Genomic DNA, 26043 nt, shown 5'->3' with positions numbered 1-26043 from the left:
CTTGGACAATGCATTTCTCATGCCCCAAAATCACTCACAGGAAGCTTGGATCATCAGCTTATTGGAGCATTTGACTTGAGAACATGTGTTTCTTGGATAAGAGAGTCATTGTCATTGGAGAAACTGTTACCAAAAAAAGAGGAGCAGCATAGAGGGCCAGCTGAAATCAGTTTGGCAAGGGGGAACATTGTTTGGTTTTTGGTTTTGTTTGTTTGTGTGTTTTCAGCTGTGTGAATCATTCTGGCCATAGAGACCTGACTTAATAATAGTGATCCACCATAGATCCCTTTAATTAAAAGCCAGGAAGAAAGGAATACTAATATACTATTCCAATTTTGTTTGACATGCATCACTGTCTCCACTTGAAGAGCGTAGGGAGAGAGGGACCTGTGAATACAGACAAGGGCAGAACCTTCTCTTCCTTTAAACCCCTTGTACTCTCTTAGAAGTGTAAACCTGAGCATTAACTTCAGGCTCAGCCCTGAGTCCCAAGAAGCTTGGCCCCTCTCCCACTTTGATCTCTCTTAGCAAACTCCCCACAAGGCTTCCTTAAACACCTAGCAATATACACTTCCATGGAAAAGGCAAAGCTCCATCTCTGAGCCTGAACCTGCTCTCAGCTATTGGCCAGAGCATAGGCATAGGAGCCTGTTTTCAAACCAACAGGGATTCCAGAAGACCATTGCCAGATAGGCTGAGCACCCCTGCATTAGAACAAAACTAGAATCTGAGGTGCTCCCTGTGTTCAGACACTGAGATTGTCATTGGAAAATGGAGAAGCTAGAAGGGACAAAAATTTGGCACTTGTTCTTTGAATACTCAGACATCTCTGGGCTCCATCCAGTCACCACCTGTCACTTCCACGAAGCAGCCCTCAGGACATGCTGTACTCTCTGTATTTTGTTTTAGGGATCATGTTGCTTAGTCAACTTTTCAACAAAGGTGGTCTTCTTGGCCAATGGTCCCAGAAGGACCAATGTCAACCTAAGATGACACAACTGAACAGTTGCGCACACGTCATGGCCCTCCCTGCCAACTGAGAGGGGTGCAGGGAGACCATGAAAGAAGGTTGTGGAGACCAGAAGGCATAGCAGGAAATGCGGGATCAAATTACTTTTCCGCTCCAGCTGGAGGGAACAACTGCCTCTCTTGAACATTCAAGGGCAGTGGAGCCAGAGTAACAAAGCAGACTAACAGGAAGGACGCTGAGAAATGAGTCTGATTATGGCACTGACATTTGGATGTCAGAGACCAATTCGGGGCTCTCTCTGGAATGAGGTCCTTCTGAATGTTAAAAGCCCTACTTTAGGATTTGTAAGGATTACTGAGAATACTTGTTTAAAAAGCTGATCATGGTCCCTACTTCTAGAGTTTCTGATTCAATGAGTAAGGAGTGAAAGCCAGGAGTCTATTGATTTTATTTATTTTTAAAGTGAGCCATAGGTGATTCAGATACATAGATCACAGTTTGAGAAACAGAGTTTGCATCTATAGGGAGGATTTTCCTCTCCCATTTGCTGTATACTTCCTTCCCAGCATGCCAGTCTGGTTTATTTGCATAACAGGCAAGCATAAGTGCCTTAAAAGCTTGGTAGGATTTGAACAAACACAATTGTTCTAAAGGAGAGTTGGATAGGAAGTAATAATAATTAAGCTCTGACTACATGCTAGGAACTGTGCTGGCAGCTGAACTTAATATGTTTATGTAATTCTTACGAGTTCCCTGAGTAAAGAAGCATCTTAGTTTTACAAATGGAGAAACTGAGGCTCAAGGATCATGGAGCTAAAGTGACAGAGCAAGAATTTAAACCCAGGTAAATCTGCCTCTGAAAGCAAACCTTCCTAAGCCAAAGAATCGTCCAAGACATTTGAAGTCCAGATTCTCCATTCACTTCTCTGGAGATTCCTACTCAGTATCTTTGCAGCAGAGCCCTGGAATCTGTAACTCTGATTTACCCTCAGGTGATTCTTACCCTATGAGTTAGGAAAAGGCTCGACTATCCCTACTGCCCCTCATAGAATGCACATATATTGGGGTTCCTTTCAGTAGAATTAGGTGGCTCGAAAAGATACACGTTTACAGCTGGGTGAAGTGGCTCACGCCTGTAATCCTAGCACTTTGGGAGGGTGAGGCGGCCAGATCACTTGAGGCCCGGAGTTCGAGACCAGCTTGGCCAACATGCTGAAGCTCCGTCTCTACTAAAAATACAAACAATTACTCAGGCGTGGTTGCAGGCGCCTGTAATCTCAGCTACTCGGGAGGTTGAGGCATGAGAATCGCTTGAGCCCACGAGGCAGAGGTTGCGGTGAGCCAATGTCGCGCCACTGCACTCCAGTCTGAGTGACAGAGAAAGACTCCATCTCAAAACAAACAAAAGATACAAGTTTTCATCCTTTGCTTTTAGGGCAAAAGCGTTGGTTTTGAAAAGATCTGACAATTTCCTCCAAAACTTGCCTTGAGAAATAGATGTGTTGCTCTTCAGATGGCTTCCTTCCCTACATTATTTCTTTCCGTAGAGGAAAAATCATTGGATTGGGATGAAGGAATTTCTAAAGCTCTGTAATAACATTTAAGTGTGGGCAACATTTTTTGCATGACTCCCAGTAATAAAAAACAGCAAGTGGGTTGAAAAAGTGGCCACAGAATTAGCACAACTGCTGTGTTCCCTGTAGATTAATTGCTTGGTGGAAAGATCAAGTTTCTACACTCCAGCATCCCAATATTCTCTAGTCGTTCTCTAACTTCAGGCTGCATCAGAATTATGAAGAAGAGGTGGTGCTGCTGTTAAAAATACAGGTGCCCAGGCCCCACTCAGTACAGATTTCAATTTAGTGAGTTCATAGTGGGACTCAAAACTCTGCATTTTGGAAGAGCACCTGGGGTTATTCTTATGCAAATGCATACAAACTACAATTCAAAAAACTATGGTAATATGTCAAGACAGCTTTAAATTCTTCTTGGAAGTAAGGGAAGGATGCATGGTAGAATAGATGGATGCATAAGAGAATATCAATCAACACAGACAGATCATGAGATTGATTGGAAAAAGTATTATCATTACTAGTTTAGTAATCCTACCAATTAATAAAAATAATTTAACTGTTGATTCAGGAATAATGCTGAATATATAACAGATATGGCTGCCTACATCCTTAGGGGGAAAAGGGTGTGCTATACTATCAAGGTATGGGCAGGTCTCTCACTCATGGAACAGTACTCCAAGAAACTATCTTGAGGTAGTTATCTGAAGCAAATCCTATTTTACTATCGATGTCTATGATAAAATTGGGCTGTTCTCTAAGAAGAATAATAGTATCCCTGGAATACAATAAAATAGCAGTGGATGACACAATAAACATTTATAATTCAAAATTTCTGGCATTTGAATGAAACAGCAATAGTATTTCACAATTTAATAATAACCCTGCTTTGTGTTATTACATATTGAAGGTTAAAGTAGGGTCATTTTCTCAGTAAAATATGTAATAAAGTGAGCATCACAAATCAAATGGGGAATGAAGGGAGTATTTAATAAATGTCATAACAGTCGGTTAGCAATCTGGGGGAAAAGTCAATTTGGCTTGTTTTCTTATATGATTTACCAAAATAAATGCTAGATAGATAAAGCTTTTAAAACTAGGAAAAATGCAAATAAAAAGGATTTGAGATGCCTTAAAGTATTTATTCTAGTTATTCTACTAAAATATGAGCTTCTTGAAGGCAGGAATTTTTGTTGTTGTTCACTTGACAGACCCACAGTGCCAAGAATGGTACCCAGCATTTTGTTGGTGTTCAATAAATGTCTAATGAATGAACCAATAAGTCAATGGTTTAAGTGTCTTGTGAGAAGAAGGACTTTGTAATTGAAAAACAATAGAAAAAATGACAAAATGTTTTGAATTAACAGATTTGAAAGAGTTGAAACTTGTAAAAATCAAAATATTAAAAGCCAAAAACCAACACAGTGAAACATTTGCAGGATAAATATAATAGTGATTTTATAACTTGACTGTATAAAAAGCTCATACCAGATAAGGTATACATAAATCAACAAACTCTTGTCCTTTAAGATCTCATTTACTGATGATAGGAGTGTCATCAGTATGACATTTCTGGAAGATAATCTAATAATGTATATAAAATATAAATGTCATACCAATTACACACCTATCTGAACACAGTCCTCCCTTGGTATCCCAGGAAGATTGGTTCCAGGATCCCCTTGGATACTGAAATCCACAGATGCTCAGGTCACACATATAAAATGGCATAGTATTTGCATATAGCCTATGCACATCTCCCAATATACTTTAAATCATCTGCTGATTACTTATAACATCTAATAATACCAATGTAAATGCTATACAAATTGTTGTTATACTGTTTTTTACTTGTAATTTTTTTTCTTTTTTAGACGGAGTCTCACTCTGTTCCCAGGCTGGAGTGCAGTGGCGCGATCTCGGCTCACTGCAAGCTCCACCTCCCGGGTTCAAGCGATTCTCCTGCCTCGGCCTCCCAAGTAGCTGGGACTATAGGCACGCGCCACCATGCCCAGCTAGTTTTTGTATTTTTAGTAGAGACAGGGTTTCAATATGCTGGCCAGGATGGTCTTGATCTCTCGACCTCGTGATCCGCCCACCTCGGCCTCACAAAGTGCTGGGATTACAGGCTTGAGCCACAGCGCCTGGCCTGTTTTCTATTTTTACTTGTGTATGTGCATGTATTGTGTACCTGTGTGTGTGTGAACCAGTGTTTGTGTATGTGCGTGTGTGCATATTTACCTGAATAGTCTGGGAACTTTCGCCTATTTTATGTAGGTTTTCATTTTTTCAAATCCCAGCCAGAAGCTAAATACAATTGGTAACCATTAAGCACTAGTTTTACTCCAAAGGAGTGGAATCACCCATATTTACTCTAATAAAAGTATGCAGCCCTTAAGTAAAGTTTTTCTTCATTTAAAATAAAAAAACTATACAGTTAGACTTCCCTTGTATTCATTACACAAAATGAGTTCTGCTTTTAAAACTTTGACACTCAGTAGTTATTTTTACAAGTTAAGATTCCAGTTTTAAAAGAAAAAGGAAGTCCTCTGCTCCAGTACCTTTCCAAATATTTTCCATCTGCAGTTAATTGACTCTGTGACACAAAACGCGAGAATACAGAAGGCCGATGGTACTGTTAATTCCAGCCATCCACCCTCTAGAGATTTACCTGAAGGTGACCCGACAGGTCTGAGATAGTGTATGTGTAAGAACAAAGTAATGTTCATCACTACATGGTTTTTACAGCTGAAAACATTGGAAACATCCAAAAGTCCATCAATAGGAACCCCACACTCAAGACCACATTGGAACCCTAGGGAACCTTTAAAAGCCATTTTTAACTGCCAGTTTAGCATCTTTTTTAAAAGACAATACTCAGTGCTGGTAAACTATGTCTTGACTTATTGGTGCCTCCCAAATACCACACATTTGAAAGATAATTGTCAATTAAAATCTACCTAGTCCTGTCCATGTCCTTTACCCCAGGAATCCCTATTCCATGCTCCACTGTCAGTTTCAAATAAAAAAACCCTTCTCTTCTTAACACCTAGGCCAAGCACGGGTGCCTATCCATTCTTCCCCATCCATCTGGAGCCACTCTCCCACCTGCTTCACACATCCTCACTTTTGACCTCAGGATTTCTTTTCCTGTTTATGGCCTGTCCTCATTCCTCAAATTGAATGGATCATTTTCTTATTAGCTCCTTTTGAATGACGCATAGCAAGCCCTAACACATTCCAACAGAAAGATCATTGTAATCCTTGATTTTCTTTTCGTATATTGTTTTCTACTAGATCACAAAGTTTTGCATCTCATGTCTAGTTTGGAATTAAATTTGATGTAAAAGCTGGAAATTTTAAAATGTCTTGAGACAATTCCCTATGACATAAGTCATTTTTCACTAATAGGCTAACGCTGTGTGATAATTTCAAGTTATTGTTCTGTTTTAGTTTCTGAGTTAATGCTATTTACATGAGTCCTTATACACTGCAAACTGCAATCATTCTTCATCTTCCCACAGATCACACATAACCATCTCCAGACATGTCACATAAGTCACATGGCAATAGAATTAAGGAAGGGAATGAATCTCCAAGTCCTATCTAAAATCAGGCAGAACCCAACAGGGTCCCAAGGCCAACATAGACTCTTGAGCCATTCTATCACAAAGTGACTAGTGTCCTTTGGCCAGATATTCCCAAACACACGCAGAAATGCAGCAATGATTCTTCATTTAAGCAAGCATTTGCATTATTAATGTAATAAGTGTATGTATAAATATATGTAAACTTCTGGAGATCCTGTACATTTGACATTAAGAGTAGAAACTGTATTTGGCTTATCCCTTTACAACAAAAATCTCCTTGAATGCTTTTTTCTCTGTCAATTTTCCATTCTTTAATGGAAAATTTTAAGCAAAGAAAACACCACAGTGAAACTTGTTAGCTTGAGGATGTATTTCTATCTACAGAGAAGATGCTTGAAAAGGCAACCCCACACTTCAGCTCTGCATAGAGCAACCCTTATAATACTTAAAATATTTTTTTTAAAAAAACACGTTTTTAAATATTGAAAACATTTTGGCATGAGGTCTCACTTGTTTGGCAGAGGTTGAGATGAAAGAGCTGTTTACATAACCAGCACATTCTGCCAATAGGTTTCCTTAGTTCTCTAACATATTCACGTTTTACATGGCAAATATGAGTATTTAGCTCCAAGGGAAACTGGTCAGAGCTATTTGGCTTTCCCAAGGGTATCAGAATCATTTTTTCTTAGTAAACCAATTTTATTCATTTGTTGATCCACATCTTCTGAGTCACTCTCTTGGGCCAATCATTGGCCCACAATAAGTGGGCTATGCCTTTTGATCATATTAGCTAGCAAGAGCTCCAGGTTTCCTCTCCATAATGAAAATTTTTGAGCCTAACAATAGTCAAAATCTTCTAAATTATGAAAAAAGTCTAAAGCTTTCAAAGCCTATACCCTTTAAACCCTATTCTCAGCAGCATTCAATGCAACTAAGTATTCCTTCTCTAGAAACATGTTTCTCTCCTGGCTTCTGGGAGGGGATTCCCTCCCGCCTTTTTTCCTACCTTCCTGGGGCCTGAATCTGGATTTCTTTGGTGCGCTTACCTTCCTGCGCCTGATCTCTAAACACTGGAGCTCCGGTGGGCTGCTCACTCCCAGACCCTGGTTCTTCTATTCTTTCTACACTCTCTCCCTGATGTGACCACCTCTATCCCTATGGCTCTAAATACCTTCTAGGTGGTAACAATTCCCCAGTATTAATCAGCTCAAAACCCTCCTCTGACCTCCAGACTCATAAGTCCAGCAGCCTTTTACAGGTTATTTGGAGTCTCCTCTTCATCCGAAACTTAACATGTCCCAACTGAACTCATGACTTCTCCTGCTCCCTAGGAAGCCTGTTCTTCCTTAGAGTTTGCCAACACATAAAATGGCACTGCCATCTGCCAAGCTGTTTGAGCCAAACCCAAAAGTCATTGTTGATTTTGTCCTTTGACCCCACTCCCTACCTTCAATTAAGTATCTGTTGCTACTACCTCAAAAAAAATCTTGATATCAGGTGTGATATTCAAACTATTTAACAACTGGTACTGATGGGCACTTGCCATGGGTACTGCCATGGGTACTGTGTTCCCCACTGGTCCCATTTGGGGAGGCAGAGGGCACATTTGAGACTCAGTGGGCTGGTTAGAGGGCCAGAGGATGCTAGGGTGGCCCTCCTCAGAGTCCACCTTTTGGCTACTGTGAATAATATTGCTATGAACGTTGGTATACAAATATCTGTTTGAGTGCCTGCTTTCATTTCTTTTAGGCATAGGCCCAGAAGCGGGGATTGCTGGATCATATGGTAATTAATTCTACGTTTAATTTTTTGAGGAAAAAATTTACATTCCCACCATCAGTGCACAAGGGAATGTGAAATATGGTATAGCTGCTGTGGAAAACAGTACAGCAGTTCCTCAAAAAATTAAATTAGGCCAGGCACAGTGGCTCACACCTGTAATCCTAACACTTTGGGAGACCGAGGTGGGCAGATCACTTGAGGTCAGGAGTTCAAGACCAGCCTGGCCAACATGATAAAACCTTGTCTCTACTAAAAATACAAAAATTAGCCGGGTGTGCTGGCGGGTGCCTGTAATCCCAGCTACTCAGGAGGCTGAGGCCGGAGAATCGCTGGAACCTGGGAGGTGCAGGCTGCAGTGAGCCGAGATCACACCACTGCACTCCAGCCTGCGCAACAGAGCAAGGCTCCATCTCAAAGAAAAAAAAAATTAAATGAGTCCACCTTCTTCACATCCTCACCAATATTGAGGTTATTTTCTGGGTTTTTTAAAAAATGATAACCACCCTAGTGGGTGTGAAGTGGTATCTCATTGTGGTTTTATTTTGCATTTCCCTAATCACCAATGATGGTGAGCATCCTTTCACGTGCTTCTTGGCCATCTGTGTGTTTTCTTAGGAGAGATGCCTATTCATGTTCTTTGCTGAGTTTTAAATTGTTTTTTTTTTCCTGTCATTGAGTTCTGAGAGCTCTTTATATATTCTGGATATTAACCTCTTATCAAATATATAGTTTGAAAATATTTTCTCCCATTCTGGGATAGTATCCTTTGATCCAGAAAAGTTTTCCATTTTGATAAAGCCTAATTTGTCTATTTTTTCTTTTTTTTTTTTTTCTGTGTCTTTGGTGTTGTATCTAGGAAATCACTGCCAAATCCTATGTTGTGAAGCTTTATCCCTGTTTTCTCCTAAGAGTTTCATAGTTTTAGCTCTAATACTTAAGTATTTGATCCACTTTGAGTTAATTTCTGTATACTGTGTAAGGTAAGGGTCCAACTGCACTCTTTCGGATGCAGACATTTAATTTTCCCGGTACCATTTGTTGAAAAGTCTGTCCTTTTCCCCACTGAATGGTCTTGACACTTGTCAAAAATCATTTGACCATACATGCAAGGATTTACAGTCATGCATCACATAATGATGGAGATATCATCTGAGAAACATGGTGATTTCATCATGCAAACATCACAGAGTGCACTTACACAAACCTATATGGTATAGCCTACTGCACACCTATGCTAGATGGTGTAGCCTATTGCTCCTGGGCTACAAACTCATATGGCATGTTGCTGTACTGAATACTGTAGGCAACTATAGTACAATGGTAAGTACTTTGTGCATCTAGACACATCTAAACATAGAAAAGTTACAATAAAAGTACAGTTTAAAAGATAAAAAGTGGTGCACCTATATAAGGGACTTACCATGCATGGAGCTTGCAGGACTGGCAGTTGCTGTGAGTAAGTTAGTGAGTGAATGGAGCGTGAATACGAAGGCCTGGGATGCTACTGTGCACTACCATACACTTTACAACTACTGTACACTTAGGCTACACTATATTGATACAAACATTTTTCTTTATTCAATAACAAAGTAATTTTAGCCTACTGTAACTTTTTTATTTTATAAACTTTTAATATTTTTATATTTTTGACTCAATAAGGCCAGGCACGGTGGCTCATGCCTGTAATTCCAGCACTTTGGGAGGCCGAGGCAGGTGGATCTCCTGAGGTCAGGAGTTTGAGACCAGCCTGACCAATATGGTGAAACCCCGTCTCTACCAAAAATACAAAAATCAGCTGGGCATGGTGGCAGGCACCTGTAGTCCCAGCTACTTGGGAGGCTGAGACAGGACAATTGCTTGAACCTGGGAGGTGGAGGTTGCAGTGAGCCAAGATCGTGCCACTGCACTCCAGCCTGGGTGACCAAGTGAGACTCAGTCTCATAAAAAAGAAAAAAAAAACACTTAGATTAAAACACACATTGTTCAGCTGTACAAAAATATTTTTTCTTTATGTTTTTATTCTATAAGCTTTTTTCTATTTTTATTTATTTTTTACTTTTTAAACTTTTTAATTAAAAACTAAGACATGAACATATTAATATGGCTTGGCTGTGTCCCCATCCAAATCTCATTTTGAATTCCCACGTGTTGTGGGAGGAACCCAGTGGGAGGCAATTGAATCATGGGGGCAGGTCTTTCCTGTGCTGTTCTGGTGATAGTGAGTGAGTCTCACGAGATCTGAGGGTTTTAAAAACGAGATTCTCCCTGCACAAGCTCTCTTCTCTTGTCTGCCGCCATGTGAGAGGTGCCTTTCAACTTCCGCTATGCTTGTGAGGCCTCCCCAGCCACGTGAAACTGTAAGTCCATTAAACCTCTTTCTTTTGTAAATTGCCCAGTCTCGGGTATGTCTTTATCAGCAGCATGAAAATGGACTAATACACATACACATTAGCTGAGGCCTCCTCAGGGTCAGGATCACCAATATCACTGTCTTCCACCTCCACATCTTGTCCCACTGGAAGGCCTTCCGGGGCAGTAACACGCATGGAGCTGTCATCTCCTGTGATAACAATCTCTTCTGCTGGAACACCTCCTGAAGGGCCTGCCTGAGGCTGTTTCACAGTTAACTTTTTTTATTAAGTGGGAGTACACTCTAAAATAAAAATAAAAAGCATAGTATAGTAAATACATAAACCAGTAGCATCATTTTTTATTATAAGTATTATGTAGTGTACATAGTTGTATGTGGTAGCCTTTTATAAGAGTGAAAACACGGTAGGTTTGTCTATACCAGCATCACCATAAACAAGTGAGTAATGCCTTACACTACAACTTTAGGATGGCTATGATGTCGCTAAGCAATAGGAGTTTTTCAGCTCCATTATAATCTTATGGGACCACTGTCGTATATGCAGTCAGTCATTGACCAAAATATCATATGCTGTGCATAACTGTATCTCTTTCTTTCTTTCTCTCTCTCTCTCTCTCTCTTTCTTTCTTTCTTTCTTTCTTACCTTTTTGAGACAGAGTCTCACTCTGTTGCCCAGGCTGGAGTGCAGTCATGAGATCTCAGCTCACTGCAACCTCTGCCTCCCAGGTTCAAGTGATTGTCCTGCCTCAGCCTCCTGAGTAGCTGCGATTACAGGCACATGCCATCACGCCCAACTAATTTTTGTATTCTTAGTAAAGACGGGGTTTTGCCATGTTGGCCAGGCTTGTCTTGAACTCCTGATTTCAGGTGATCCCCCCCACCTCAGCCTCCCAAAGTGCTGGGATTACAGGTGTGAGGCACCAGGCCCAGCCACGTAACTGTATTTCTAAGACCTCTATTCTATTCCATTGGTTGATGTGTATGTCTTTATGCCAGTACCATACTGTTTTGATTACTGTATCTTTGCAGTAAGTTTCAAAATCAGGAAGTATGAGGCCTTCAACTTCACCCCTTTTTGAAAGATTGTTTTGGCTATTCAGAGTCCCTTGAGATTCCATATTAACTTTAGGATGGATTTTTCTATTTCAGCAAAAAATGTCACTGGGATTTTGACAGGGCTTGTATTGAATCCATAGATCACTTTGGGTGACATTGACATCTTATCTTAACAATACTGAGTCTTCCAATCCATGATAGGATGTCTTTCCATTTATTCATTCTTCTTTTATTTCTTTTAGCAGCGTTTTCTAGTTTTCACATATTAAGCTTCACGGAAGTTTAAATAAGAAAGTAGTAATAATTGTCACCTGGCTAGGAGTGGAAGATGGAATCGGAGCACATGGAGGCCTTTGTCTACTCATTGTACCTTTTTCATACTTCTCATGCTTTCACTTTTTGAATAAGGACCACAGTCTGGATGAGGTGAAGGTGGCACCTGGGGATCAAAATGTAAAGAGGTCCTCACGTCTCATTCCCACGTGCCAACAACGCAGCTCTTGCATGGACCTGAGAGTGAGTGTTTCTTTCAGTTTTGTGCTCCAGGCCCTTGTCCTAGTGCCTACCCCCTCAGCAACATGTCCTTAATAAATGACTCACCCATGAATCCCCATCTCAGGGTCTGCTTCTGCAGAACCTGACCTAAGATGTGCTCTAGTCTCTGCTAACCTGTCAAATCCTACACTTCCTTACTCCCTCTTTCTAAAGTGGGGGACAGAGGTACCTCCTGTTCTTCTCGATCACAAAATGCTGTCTTTTCCTTCACAGAAATTGCCTCAATTCCTGACCGTTTGTTTAGTTACTTATTTTCCACAAGATTGTACCCTTCATAAATACTGGGACCATCGTCCTAGCACATTTTCTGGTACACTGTAAGCATTTAAAATGCATCTGTGGAAGGAAGGAAGGAAGGAAGGAAGGAAGGAAGGAAGGAAGGAAGGAAGGAAGAAAGAAAGGAAGGGGAAGAGGTGGGAGGGACGAAGGAAGGGAGGATTGTAAGCATTTAAATGCATCTGGAAGGAAGGTTGGGAGTGAGGGATGGAGGGAGGGAGGGACGGAGGAAGGGAAGGAGGGAAGGAAAGAAGGAAAGACTTCAGAGTCCTTCTGAAGCATGGACTTCAGAGTAATGTGGCCTATATCAATTTTTCCAGGATTGTTCTTTTGTTTATTGTTGTTTTTTCTCCCTTCCTCCACACTATTTTGTCTTCACAGGATATGAGACTTCACAACCTGCTAAAAATGAGTTTTGGGACTTACCTATCTAGGAATAAACCATCCTAGCCATGAGAGATCAAATGAAACCTGAGACCAGAGACTCATTTTCTTGTAAAATGCTTTCTCCAACAGATTTTAAGGGAAAGGAAGGGGAAGGGGAAGGGGAAGGGGAAGGGGAAGGGGAAGGGGAAGGGAAGGGGAAGGGAAGGGAAGGGAAGGGAAGGGAAGGGAAGGGAAGGGAAGGGAAGGGAAGAGAAGGGAAGGGGTTTATTCTCTGAGTGTCAAAACAAGTTTGAGGAGAACAACTGTTTTCAGTGAGAAAACTGAGACTCTAAATTCAAGCATCATCGTCATACCTTAATAAATAAAAGGATATTTTCTCAAATGTTTTTAAAGGCACAGTGAGATGCAGTACTACGAGGGAAACTATTATTTCTGAAGTTTGTTTCTTATTGTCAAATCCACCCATCCCATATGGATCTCATTTGGTTGGATCTTTGCTGCTTCTTTTTATTTTTTTTTTTTTCACTAAAATATTCTCACATTTCCATTAGGTCATGTATTGTGCAATTGTAGCTTAAATATCTGGTTTCTTCAAAAATTCTGGGCCAGCAAACTGTTTTGCCTCAGATAAACCCCAGATTTGTCACACAGTGACATGACTGATGTACTAGGAACTCCCGTTTTGCTGCCTTACCCATTATACAGAGAAAACTTTCTGTAAGTTTCCAAGACATGAAGACTTTTTTTCCAAAATATTATACAAATAGTAAAGACGCCTTTTACACACACCCACAAGGCTCTTGCAGACACTGGAGATTCCCACAATATTCTTTTGCAGCAAGTAAAAGCCAGAGATTTGAGAAAATAATAGAGGCACTGAGAGCCCAGGCCCTGAGAGCCAATGGCATTTAAGAAAACACTCAGAGGGCTCGGTGTCATGCTCAGGCCTGTAATCCCAGCACTTTGGGAGGTCAAGGTGAGCAGATCACTTGAGGTCAAGGGTTCGAGACTAGCCTGGTCAACATGGTGAATCCCCATCTCTACTAAAAATACAAAAATTAGCCAGTCGTGATGACACACACCTGTAGTCCCAGCTACTCGGGAGGTTGAGGCAGGAGAATCGCTTGAATCTGGGAGATGGAGGAAGCAGTGAACCAAGATCACACCACTGAACTCCAGCCTGGGTGACAAAGCCAGAGTCCGTCTCAAAAAACAAAACAAAAAAAAACATGCAGAGGGTGAAGCCTCCAAGGGAAGCAGCTGCTCCCAACATATAAAAAAGGTTTGCTGGCCCCATGAGCTGAGAGAAAAGTGACCAACCGGACCCTCTGTGTTTGAATATCTTTGTATAGATGCATGCTTTCCATGGGGACGGGCAGGGTGGCTCACGCCTGTAATCCCAGAACTTTGGGAGGCCGAGGTGGGCGGATCATTTGAGGTCAGGAGTTCAAGACCAGCCTGGCCAATATGGTGAAACCCTGTCTCTACTAAAAATACAAAAATTAGCTGGGCAGTAGTGGCGCATGCCTGTAATCCCAGCTACTTGGGAGGCTGAGGCAGGAAAATGACTTGAGCCTGGGAGGCAGAGGTTGCAGTGAGCCGAGGTCGTGCCACTGCTCTCCAGCCTGGGTGACAGAGTGAGACCCTCTCTCAAAGAAAAAAGAAGGGGGGCCTTGCTTTCCATGGATACAGCCTTTGCTCAGATGTTTAATCCTTTGCTCTAGAACAGAGGTCAACAAACGTTTTCTGTAAAGGGCCTGATAGTAAATATTTGAGGTGTTGTGGGCCATGAATGATCTCTGTTGCATCTTTTGGTTTGTTTGTTTGTTTTATACAACACTTTAAACACATGAAAATGATGCTTAGCTTGTGGGCTGTACTAAAGAGGCTACAGGCTGAATTTGACCCACTGGCCATAGTTTACTGACTCCTGATCTAGGCAATGAAGGGAAGAGAGGATTTTATTCATGCTTCTCATAGTTGCCTTTTTGGTTTCTTGTCTAAGCCTTATTACTTGCCTTCTAGTTTATTGGAATAAACCTCCTGACTGGCCTTCCTACCTGTAATAATACTTCTTACCCAGTCATTTATGTGTGCCAGAGCCTGTGCTAGGAACTTTACATTCATTGCAGAATCTCTTTGAACAATCCTTTGAGGTAGATACTATTATTCTCCCCACGTTATAAATAGGAAAACTGAGGCTCAGAGAAGCTACGTAAACTTCCTGGGATCACACTGCTGCAAGTCTCTGAGTCAAGACCTGAAACTAAGTCTGCCTGATACCAAATCCTTAGTTTGCTCTTTCCACTAACACCTGACAATAGCAGTTCTTTCTCTTGTCTATCTACTTCCAATTCATCCTACATCATTGCATCCAATCGATCTTTCTGAGACATCAGTTTGATCATGACATTCCCCTGCTAGGAATCCTTCAGTGGCTCCTGGTGATCTCGAGTGCTTAGTGGCTCCTGGATTTTGTTTTGTTTGATAGTCTGTTATTTGTCTCAAGAGCATCATTCTCCATCAGCTAGAGTTTCCATTGAAGAGACTTTCCAACTGTTCATGACCCAAACCCGATCTTGTGAGATGGAGCGTTGGGTTCAGTCAACACGGAAACCCTCTCCTCACACCATGTCTCCATCAGGCCTTCAGCTTCCTTGACAGCTCCCAGATTTACATGCATCATTCTACCTACATTTTTAAGGTATCTCATACTTGGTACCCTTTTCAAATATATTATTATATTTCATCTTCCTAAAAATCTTGTGAGGTGAGTGCTGTATCCTCATTTTACAGATGAATTAACTGAGGCTGAAAGGAGTTAAGGAAATTGTCCAAGGGTCACAGTGTGTCACCTCAGAGATAGCAAGTGGCAGTGCCACACCCCACCCTGTCATATCCAGAGGAATCTCATCCCTGCACAGTGATGTCAATGCCTGTCGCCAAAATCTCAGGGCAGAAAGGAACAGGCAGGGAGTAAGGAGGGCAAGACATCTCTGAAGGCCTTTCTCTCCCAGGAACCACTTGCCAGTTTCTACAGGACTCAAGCATCTTGCGGTGTGAAGGCAGTTTTTTTCTTACCCTAATGTTTATAACATCTTTTCCCTCTACAGGGCCTGTCTTTGCTTTACCCCAACCTCCAATGGGGATTTGTAATTTGAAAATTTCATTTCTGAATCTGCTACATCAAACGCCCTTAGAGAAGAAAAAGTATGTGTGTGTGATTTATACATAAATATCTATATAAATATCTGTAATAGCTCTTGGGGAAACCACATAAAGTTACCGTGCAAAGTGCATGTAATTGCCACATGGTATTTGTTACACATATCAAGTGTAAAACTGAAAAAGATGTGGCTATTTAACAAAAGTTTAAGCAAAAGAGAAAAAGGCAAATAACAATGAGGTAAGAATTGAAATTGCTTAAATGCTCATTCAGACGGGAGATTCGGGCAACCTCCAGGCCCACCAGCAAGAAGTGAGTCAGGTTTGAAGTTAGAAGAATTGATGTGAATCCCCTGGTTGCCATGGTTTGCAAATAACTTTTCTTCAGGCAAATCATAAATGATTTACAACCTCTAGTAGGCTTGTCCTTGATCAAAATCATCAAGAAGGTAAATATTGTCTTTGGGGAAATTTTCTCATTTCTTTTCTAATATTGTTTCATTCATTCATTCATTCATGAAGCATTTATTGAGTTCTTGCTGGGAGCCAGGCAGCCTGTTCGATTCTACAAAAGTAAAACTGACAGAGATCTAATCAAGTAGGAGAGATGAGGCCTCATGGTTTCATAATAGAAGCAGCAGCTCCGTTTCTGACACGCTCCCCATGTGCTATTAATTATCCCATTACTATGCACAAATACCCCACACTGCAGGCTCTCATTCTTTTAACTGTGCAAATGAGGGTGCTCAGGAATTTACCCAACATCTTGTCTCCAGGGACCAGCTTTCATCTGCTCTGCTCTTCCCCAGCACTGTTTTGTACGAATGTAACATGAGCCATGAGTATAATTTTAAATTTTCTAGCAACCACATTTAAAAAGAGATAAAAAGAAAGAGGGAAAAGTAATTTTGATTATATATTTTATTTAACTCCATATAACTCAAAATTTCATACTTATCCACACATTTACACATACATGTATATAAATATGCACACATATTTACACCTATAAGTCCAAATATGTACGTATATAAATATGCACATATTTGCACATATTTACACATGTTTACACCTTTTTTTCCATAAACCGTGGTCAACAATTCATATTTATCCACACATTTATACATACATGTATATAAATATGCACACATATTTACATTTGTAGATACGTATGCACCTGTGTAACTCAAACAAAGGTTTCACAGAACTGACTCTTACAGAATGTGACACACTCAGGTATCTTCTATTAAATTCTCTTCTAGAATACTCCTTTGATGCTGGCTGTGATCCAGCAACTTGATTTCACAGCCACTCTGGGTTGGAACTCGCAGAGGCTGCTGGGCGGGACATGTGCTATGTGAAGCTCCAATACCCATGTCCCTCTTTTCTGGCAACACCACGCCCATTTCCTTGGTGCAAGTGTGTCAGTGAAGCTGACCCACCTCTGGTTCCAGGACAAAGCCAATAACTCCCACATGGCCCACCAGAGCCTTGTATCTGGAAGCCACCTCGACTGACTCAAGGACGTGCGCATGGCCAATCACAGCTTATCTCACAATTTTTACTTTAGTGATCAGGGTAAAGAAAAAAACTTATACTATATTTGGGAGAAGACAGGAGCAGAGGGCCTGCTGAAAGCAGGAAAACAGAGAAGACAAAGTTTTGAAAGTATTGCTTAATACCTGGATCAAGCCATGCCTGAAACTCCATCTAATTTAAAAGTCGTACTTTTAAATTATATGAGCCAATAGATTACCCTTTTTTTCCTAAGCTTAGTTGAGTTGGGGTTTCTGTCAATTTAAACCAAAAGAAGCTGATTGAAAAAATCCTCATACGTGTCTCGCAGATGCTCAGTGCCTTTTTATTGCCTGATTTGGGAAAGCTCCAGGCATTTTTCTTCCCAGCAATTCTGTGTCCTTTACAATTGTCCTTTGCTTTTCTCTTTAATTCAGGATCCTTTCTTTATGCATTCTTTTCACCATAGTATGACTGTCTCATAACAGTCTTAACTGGGCTACTTCTTCTTGGGAAATTTGCATTTTTAAACTCACCAGTCAAACGAGTTATCTGTCTAAGAATAGAATTTCAGCATTGTGGTACAGGCAGGTAGGGAAAATATTTGGGAACAAAGATTCACCTGGTGCCTGCTCTGAAAAATTGTAAGCCTAGTTCTGTGGCCAGGGGCTGGTATTTTTCAAGTAAAGGTCACACTTTTGTTGTTGTTGTTGTTGTTGTTGTTGTCGTTGTTGTTGTTGTTGTTGCTAAGTGATGAGTTCTTTCCTGAAACTCTACATTTTCCTCCGGGCTTGTGACTCTTCAAAAATCTCTACCTTAATTTGAACAGGGTACCCAAATAGGTATATCCTGTGAAAAGGAAAATATGAAGCTTCAAAAATAAATGGCCTGCCAAGATTTCAGAGCTGCAAAAGGTTGTGCCTAGAACTGTCAAATGTCAAAAATAATTACCAGGTAGAATGTGACTCATACACCCAGCAGGCATGATCAAAACTAATCCTTCCTGCCTTCATCTGTCTGGACAAAGTTAGGTAGGAAACCTGCCTAGCCCAGCGCCTTCAGGCCCCATAGATTTGGAGAGGGATAGCCCTCAACCTCATATTGGAACATTCTCTTTAGCTTCTAGGGGTGATTTTATATACTCACTAGCTAGTTGCTGTTTTGACTTGTGTATCTGTTCTTATAAACATATAACTTTTCATAAATGCACAGATTATATTTACTAGGATGTTTTAGCCTTTTATTGTACAAGAAAACATACTACAAATGCAAAAAAACTATATCAAAAATGGAAATCTTGAAGAATTATTATAACTACCATGCAGATCAAGAAACAAAATTGTGCAGCCACCCCAGATATCCGTGTTTTATGCCCCATCCCAGACACTATCCCTCTCTCCTTCAAAAAATTATCACTACTGGGACTTTTTTTGTTGTTGTTGTTGTTTTGAGATGGAGTTTTGCTCTTGTTGCCCAGACTGGAGTGCAATGGCATGATCTCAGCTCACTGCAACCTCCGCCTCCAGGGCTCAAGCGATTCTCCTGCCTCAGCCTCCCAAGTAGCTGGGATTACAGGCACGCACCACCACCACCACGACTGGCTAATTTTGTCTTTTTATTAGAGACGGGGTTTCTCCATGTTGATCATGGCTGGTCTCGAACTCCCGACCTCAGTTGATCGGCCTGCCTCAGCCTCCCAAAGTGCTAGGATTACAGGCGTGAGCCACCATGCCCAGCCCGGGACTTTTATAATATCTTTTTGTGTGTTTCTTTGACATCTTATCGCTCACGTATGAATCCTTAGACACTACCGCTTGGTCTTGCTCATTTCCTTTTAATTTGAAAGGTCTTCTTTTCTCTATATCATTGGTTCCCTCTCCATCCTTGTCTTTTCCTTACAGGTTATCTATTGCAGAGGCCAGCATGCTATGGTTAAAGGTTCTTTTTCACTCCGTGTATATTTTATACCTGTTACCCCTCATCCTTTTCTCCCCCACCTGGATCCCTATTCAAGCACTTCCCTCCTCCACTTGACACCAAGTAACTCATGCTAACAACCAATGCTGCACCCTTTGGTATTTTTCTCCATTCTCATAAATCATATGCAATTATAGACATTACTGCAATTACACAAGCTATCGTAACAGCCACACTTATTGAGCACATTATATTCCGGGCACCATTGTAAGTCTCTGTATACAATAGCTGAGTTAATCCTCATATCAATCCTAAAGTAGATATTGCTATTGTCCCCCATTTAATATACAAGTATAAAGATCAGCAACACAGAGAGGTTACATTAAGTTCCCAAAGTCCCACAGCCAATAAGAGCTACGTACAGGACCAAACCCAGATATTCTGGCTTCAGAAGTGAATAAGCACGAATTCACACCCACCTCGACCTTTTTATACAAAAATAGGATTACATTAGACATTATTTACGCAATATATTGTGGGAATCTTTCCACGTTAACCAGCTCAAATTCATACTTTTCTGATCGCAGCATAAACATATAGGATATGGATGTGTCAAATTTTAAATCAACGACTGACCTTCATTCATACCACTTTTCACTTTATATCACGTTTTGCTCTAGACATAATGCTACAAATATTTCGACCTCTTTATTTTTGGCCAGTGTGGCAGATAGGGAGGGTCATCTCTTTGCTTTTGTGGACTGAATTTCCCTTTTGAGCATCTTCTCATCTTGATCATTGAGGCTTGCTCTCCCATGCACTGTTCTTCATATCCTTCACTGATTTTTCTCTTGGGGCTGCTTGTCTTGTATTCATAAATCTGTAAGCATATTTGAACATTGGACATGTAACCTTCTGTCTGCAGAGGGTTGCTTGATTATGCACTAGAAAATTAAATTATTTTTTATTTTGTTTTAGAGATAGGGTCTCGCTCAGTTGCCCAGGCTAGAGTATAGTGGCATGATCACGGCTCACTGTAGCCTTGAACCCCTAGTCTCAAGTGATCCTCCCACCTCAGCCTCCCAAAGCACTGGGATTACAGATATGAGCTACCATGCCCAACCTCTTCTTCTTGTTCTTTTTTTTTTAAATAGTTCACTTTTTTTACTTAGTAAAGATTATATATTTAGAGAAGAATTGCGAAAATTGTGGAATTGAAGAATAAATTCTTAAGTAGCGATTTGTATTCACTCATACCAACAAGTTAATTGCATCGTTGATACATTTTATTCTCTGGATAGTGTGAGACATTTCAGGGCTCATGTACCTATTCAACATCTTTACTCACTGAAGAGAAGAAAGTTAATTTATGTAAGAGACCATGAATTGCAGAATGTTCCTGGGTCCACATGCCTTCCTTCCAAACGTTTTCAAGGTCAAAGCACAAATGAGACTGTTCCTGCTAAGATTACACGATAACAGTTTTTGTAAGACAGAGTTGCCAGACTTCCCTCTGGCAAGAATTGGTCAACTAGACAGTTAATATGTATTCCAAAAGGTTCTGTTTTGGGTGTTTTGAATCGTATTCTATTCAATCAAGTCCACATTTCCAAGGAAACCTTTGAAAGTCCCTTTCTTAATTGGGTTTCCTGAAAAGCAGAGCCTGAGACAAGGACTTGGGTGCAGGTGGTTTCTTTGGGAAGTGAGCCCAGGAGGCAGGAGTGAGGGAGCCAGGAGAGGTAGACGGAGAAGACGTGTTATCACACCGGCTACTGCTGTGGGCACCTGGGCTCACCCATCGGGGGAACCGTGTAGAAAGCACCTCAGGGTTGCCCCCTGAAGGAAGGGAGGCTGGAGTGTTTTTCCTCCAGCTCTCATTCCCCTTGGCTGGGGTGGCCTCCAGGGATGGGAAGCCCCGTGTACTTCAGGGACGCTCCTGCACACATGCCCAGTGTTCTTCAAGGCTCCAGAGGAAGCCCTGAAGCAGAACAGAGAGACACTGAAGCCCATGATGAGGTGGGAGGCTGCCAGCCCTCAAGTCACTGTCCAATGCAGAGGTACAGAAATCACAGGAACACCAAGGGGGAGTGACTCAAGGCACAGATTGTACCTGCTGCCACCCCTCCCAGGCCCCATTCGGGCTTCCTGCAACATCTCCCTCTTCTTCTCAAGAGATCTCTTTCCTGCTTCCACCGCCTGGCTAATGTATTGTTTCTCCCCCTGCAATATCCCCCTCTTTAATCTGACCCTAAAATTATCCCACTATCTTTCAAAACCCAGCTGCAAATCCCACCTTTGGGAGGCAGCATAATGGCGCAGAGTTTTGGGGCTTTGGGGTCCAATGTAGTTGCCAAGTCTGGCTTAGCCTCTTCCGGACTGCTTCACGGCTTAAAGAGTTAACCTAGGCTCTCTGAGAGGCGAATGCCATCCTGCAGCACAGACACACAGAAGTCTGGCTCTCCCAGAGCCTCTGCTGAAGACAAGCACGGCCCCCATACCAAAGCTCTCCACGAAGCAAATGCTCAGAATGCTCCAGCCAGATGATCTCTGCTTCTGTAGAAATGAGAAAACAACTGCATAAAAGAAAGCAAAGAGGACTGGAAGGAGCAAAACAGGCTTTGACAGTGAGATAAAACTGCTCTCCTGCACGGTCCTTTACCAAGGTCCTCTGTCCTCCAAAACCCTTCCAACCAGTCTTTCCCCAATCCACTGCCCTGTCACTGTGGCCTCAGTCAGAGAGATTTAATCACACAATCCGAGCAACCACTCAGTCTGCCCAAAACTCAGGTTGCTTCCAGAACATAATAGAAAAGGAAGCTTTTTCCCTCCACAGGGAAACAAATGAGGGACGGAGGGTGGAAGCATTCACCTTCACTCATGAAAGGGAGGATGTCTGGATTTGAGTAGCTGGAAACAATTCAGGTATGTGCCACTGGTCACATTGTGTAAATGTCATTTTCCGCTCATCTCTGAGGCTCAAATATTAAAACTGACACTATGTCATGGCTTGAGAGTTATTCCTTGCAAAATGACGACAAATAATGTTATCATAAACAAGTCCACACAAAAGTCTTTCCCTCCTAATTTAATTTCAGGAGAAACTATGCTAATCCTTTAATTATGCAGCATGCTTATCTGTCAAACTAACTTCTTTCTGCTGAAAAATACTTTGCTATCACAGAGGCTGTTGATGAATATCTGCTGAAAGAGTTTGTAGTGTTACAGAAAAATTCCCTTCTTAAAAAATAATAGCAGAGTGGAAAACTTAATCCTTTTAAGAAAGAAAGCACTGCATAGGCTTAATCAACAGATCAACAGCAGGTTCCACCCCTGTGCTAGCTCGCTGCTGGAAGAGCTTCAGGCAAAGCCCACTGGGAACAGGGTCTCTGTGTTGGACAGTTCCTTTTTTTTTTTTTTTGGAGGTGGAGTCTCGCTCTGTCGCCTAGGCTGAAGTGCAGTGGTGTGATCTTGCCTCACTGGGTTCAAGCGGTTCTTGTGCCTCAGCCTCCTGAGTAGCTGGGACTACAGTTGTGCACCACCACGCCCAGCTAATTTTTGTATATTTAGTAGAGATGGGGTTTCACCATGTTGGCCCGGATGGTCTCAAGCTCCTGACCTCAAGTGATCCACCTGCCTTGGCCTTCTCAAAGTGCTGGGATTACAGCCATGAGCCACCACACCTGGCCAAGAGGAGATTTTCAAAAGGGTGTTTGGCTCAGCTGAGGAATCACCTGCTCCAAGCTGAAGAAGAAACTCCTCGTGGCATGGCCAAGGCTGAGTGGAGGATCCAGTATTCACCCTGAAAATGGTACAGCTGTGGTTTGAAGGAGGACCTGGGGTTGGAGTCTGGGCTGTGCCACTTTGGAGCTGTATGATGCTCATCAAATCTCAGACCTCAACATAAGACATTTTGCAAAAATAGGAATAGCAACCTCTACCTTATGAGACTGTTGTTAGGATTAAAGAGACAGTACATAGGAAAGCACTTTGCAAAGTTTGAAATAAATATGTAATAGTAGTAGAACTTGGCTGTTCACTCCAGTGGCTTGTGTTCTAGAGGTACATAGAGCCCAAACGAGTAATTTTAGCTCATTCATCCTACCCCACTTCCCACACTACCAGATTCCACTGGGTCTCTTGGAAGCTCCAAGCATAGGCAAATAAATTCACTCGAACAAGCTGCACATAGTCTAATACATTTTAAAACTAAAAATAATTAAACCTTTCTAGTACCAGAGCCAGGAACAGACAGACAGATCGATGGGATAGATTACAATGCCTGGAAAAAAAGATGAGGGTCTTTCAAAATCAAAAAAAGACAGTATTGGAAAAACAGGTTAGAAAAAGCATTCAATTCATACCTCACTTTTTGAGTCAAATTAATCCTTAAGGGGTTAAAGACCTACCTTAAAAAAAATTAAACCAGAAAAAGTAGCAGAAAAAGCATGACAAAACATGCTTACAGTTTTGTAGGGGATAGATAAGCATGATGAAAAAAGACACCATAAAAAATTGATAAACTTGGTGGGGTGCTGTGGCTAATGCCTGTAATCCCAGCACTTTGGGAGTCCGAGGCAGGGGGATCACTTGAGGTCAAGAGTTTGAGACAAGCCTGACCAACATGGTGAAACCCTGTCCCTACTAAAAATACAAAATTAGCTGGGCGTGGTGGCGCATGCCTGTAATCCCAGCTACTCAGGAGGCTGAGGCAGGAGAATTGCTTGAATACAGGAGGCGGAGTTTGCAGTGAGCCAAGATGGCGCCATTGCACTCCAGCCTGGGCAACAAGAGCAAAACTCTGTCTCAAAAAATAAAAATTGATAAACTCAACTATAAAAAAGAAATGTCATATGGGGGTGTAAACATATATATATAATACACATATATATTTTACATATATATATTTTTACATATATATTTATATATATATATATATATATATATGTAGTCATAGTGGCCATAACCACTATCACCAAATATAAGACCAGAAACTTTGTGTGTGTGTGTGTGTGTGTGTGTGTGTGTGTGTGTGTGTGTGTATAAAGCACATGATCAACCATGATTTAAAAATTTACAGCATACCATGGAAAACAGAAAATTAATGTAAAGCTCTCTCTTTACAAGAAGAAAAAGTTGGACAATCCAATAAGAGAAAAATGCATAAAGAGTCTAAAAACACAGTGCAGAGAAAAAGAAATCAAAAAAACATAGTTTATAAACGAAGGAGCTCAAACTCACTCATAATAATGAAATTAATATGAAAATAGTAAATATCATTTTTCCACTTATATGGGAAAAAAGTTAGACTATATCCATTCTTTGTTAGAGAATGATATGATAGAAATACTCCTTTTTGGAGAATATCATATGGGAAGCTGTTTGGTAATATCTATGGAAAATTTTAAAGCACATACCTAGCAAGTATATTTTTAGAAATACATCTTTCTCACAGGTGTCTAAAATTTTTAGGAACAAGGATATTTATTAAGCAATGTTTGCTTACAAAAAGAAGGGGGGTGTGGATGAGTCCTAAGTGCCCATTAGTTGGAGAGTAGTCAAATAAGGTAGGAAGTATTCATATAATGGAATACTGAACAGCTACATAAAGAATAAAAGAGGACCGGTCGCGATGGCTCACACCTGTAATCCCAGCACTTTGGGAGGCTGAGGCGGGTGAATCATCTAAGGTCAGGAGTTCGAGACTAGCCTGACCAACATGGTGAAACCCTGTCTCTACTAAACACAAAAAATTAGCTGGGCATGGTGGCATGCGCCTGTAATCCCAGCTACTTGGGAGGCTGAGGCAGGAGAATCACTTGAATCCGGGAGGCAGAGGTTGCAGTGAGCCAAGATGGCACCAATGCACTCCAGCCTGGGCAACAAGAACACAACTCCATCTGAAAACAAAAAAAGAATAAAAGAAAATTGTTTACACTGACATGAAAAAAAAGTCCATATATTATCAATTAACAAAAGCCTATTTCAAAGAAGTATACGATTCATTCAGATAGCATGAAAGCATCTGTGTACTGTGAATATATAAAATATATGCAGAATATATAAGCATTCTTATAAGTGCATAGAAAAGTCTATAGTGTTACACACAATGAGGAGTGAAATTTAGAGGACTGCGGAGGGCAAGAGACTATAATTTAGCACTTAATTCCACTTTATATGCAGTGTGAAAATTTTTAATCAGGATTTGTACAGCTTTTATAATTTAAATTGAAATAAATTACTGTCTTATTCTATATACACAAACCCCAACAAAATTAAACGTAGAACATTCTCAGAAATAAACTAGACATATTGATAGTCCACCTTAACCAGAGATAAAACTCTCTGAAAATATATGAGTTCTTTACTTGGAGAGCTGCAGAACAACAAAATTGTCTAGATAAATTCTTTTTTTTTTAATTTAAAGGAGTTTAATTGAGCAATGAACAATTCACGAATCAGGCAGCCTCCAGAATCACAGCAGATTCAGAGAGTCTCCCACAAAGGCATGTGATGGGAGATTTATAGACAAAAGGGAAGTGGCGTGCAGAAATCAGAAGTGAGGTACAGAAACAACTGGATTGGTGACAGCTCGGCGTTTGCCTTATTTGAACACAGTTTGAACACTCAGCAATGTATGAGTGGTTGAAGTACAAAGTACAGCTGCTGGGATTGGCCAAGACTCAGCTATTGTTACGGGTGCAGATTCCTAAGTTAGGTTTTCAACCTTGTCTGCCTATTAAGTTAGGTTGTAGTTCATCTACAAGGACTCAAATATAGAAGTATGCAGTCCTTCTCAGGCCACATTTATTTCGCTTTAACAATTGCCCCCTTTTGGTCATTTTCTCAATTTTGAGAGATTCACCAAAACTTTAGTCATTGATGTCACTA

At 41.0% G+C, this 26043-nt stretch overlaps 1 long non-coding RNA gene across 1 annotated transcript in view; it reads right to left on the bottom strand.

Annotated features, from left to right (window-relative positions):
* Positions 1–16629: 16629 nt before the first annotated feature.
* The window catches only part of LOC102724080 (uncharacterized), a 117440-nt gene continuing 108026 nt past the window's right edge, over positions 16630–26043 (bottom strand). Inside the window, exon 2 of the long non-coding RNA XR_007061636.1 lies at positions 16630–18087. This is a non-coding gene — a long non-coding RNA (uncharacterized LOC102724080). The remainder of the gene's footprint in view (positions 18088–26043) is intronic.

Source organism: Homo sapiens, chromosome 9 (genome assembly GCF_000001405.40).
Source record: "Homo sapiens chromosome 9, GRCh38.p14 Primary Assembly".
In the NCBI taxonomy this organism is placed as follows: domain Eukaryota; kingdom Metazoa; phylum Chordata; class Mammalia; order Primates; family Hominidae; genus Homo; species Homo sapiens.
The sequence above is the reverse complement of the archived record's forward strand: the minus strand, read 5'-3'. Positions and strand labels throughout refer to the sequence as shown.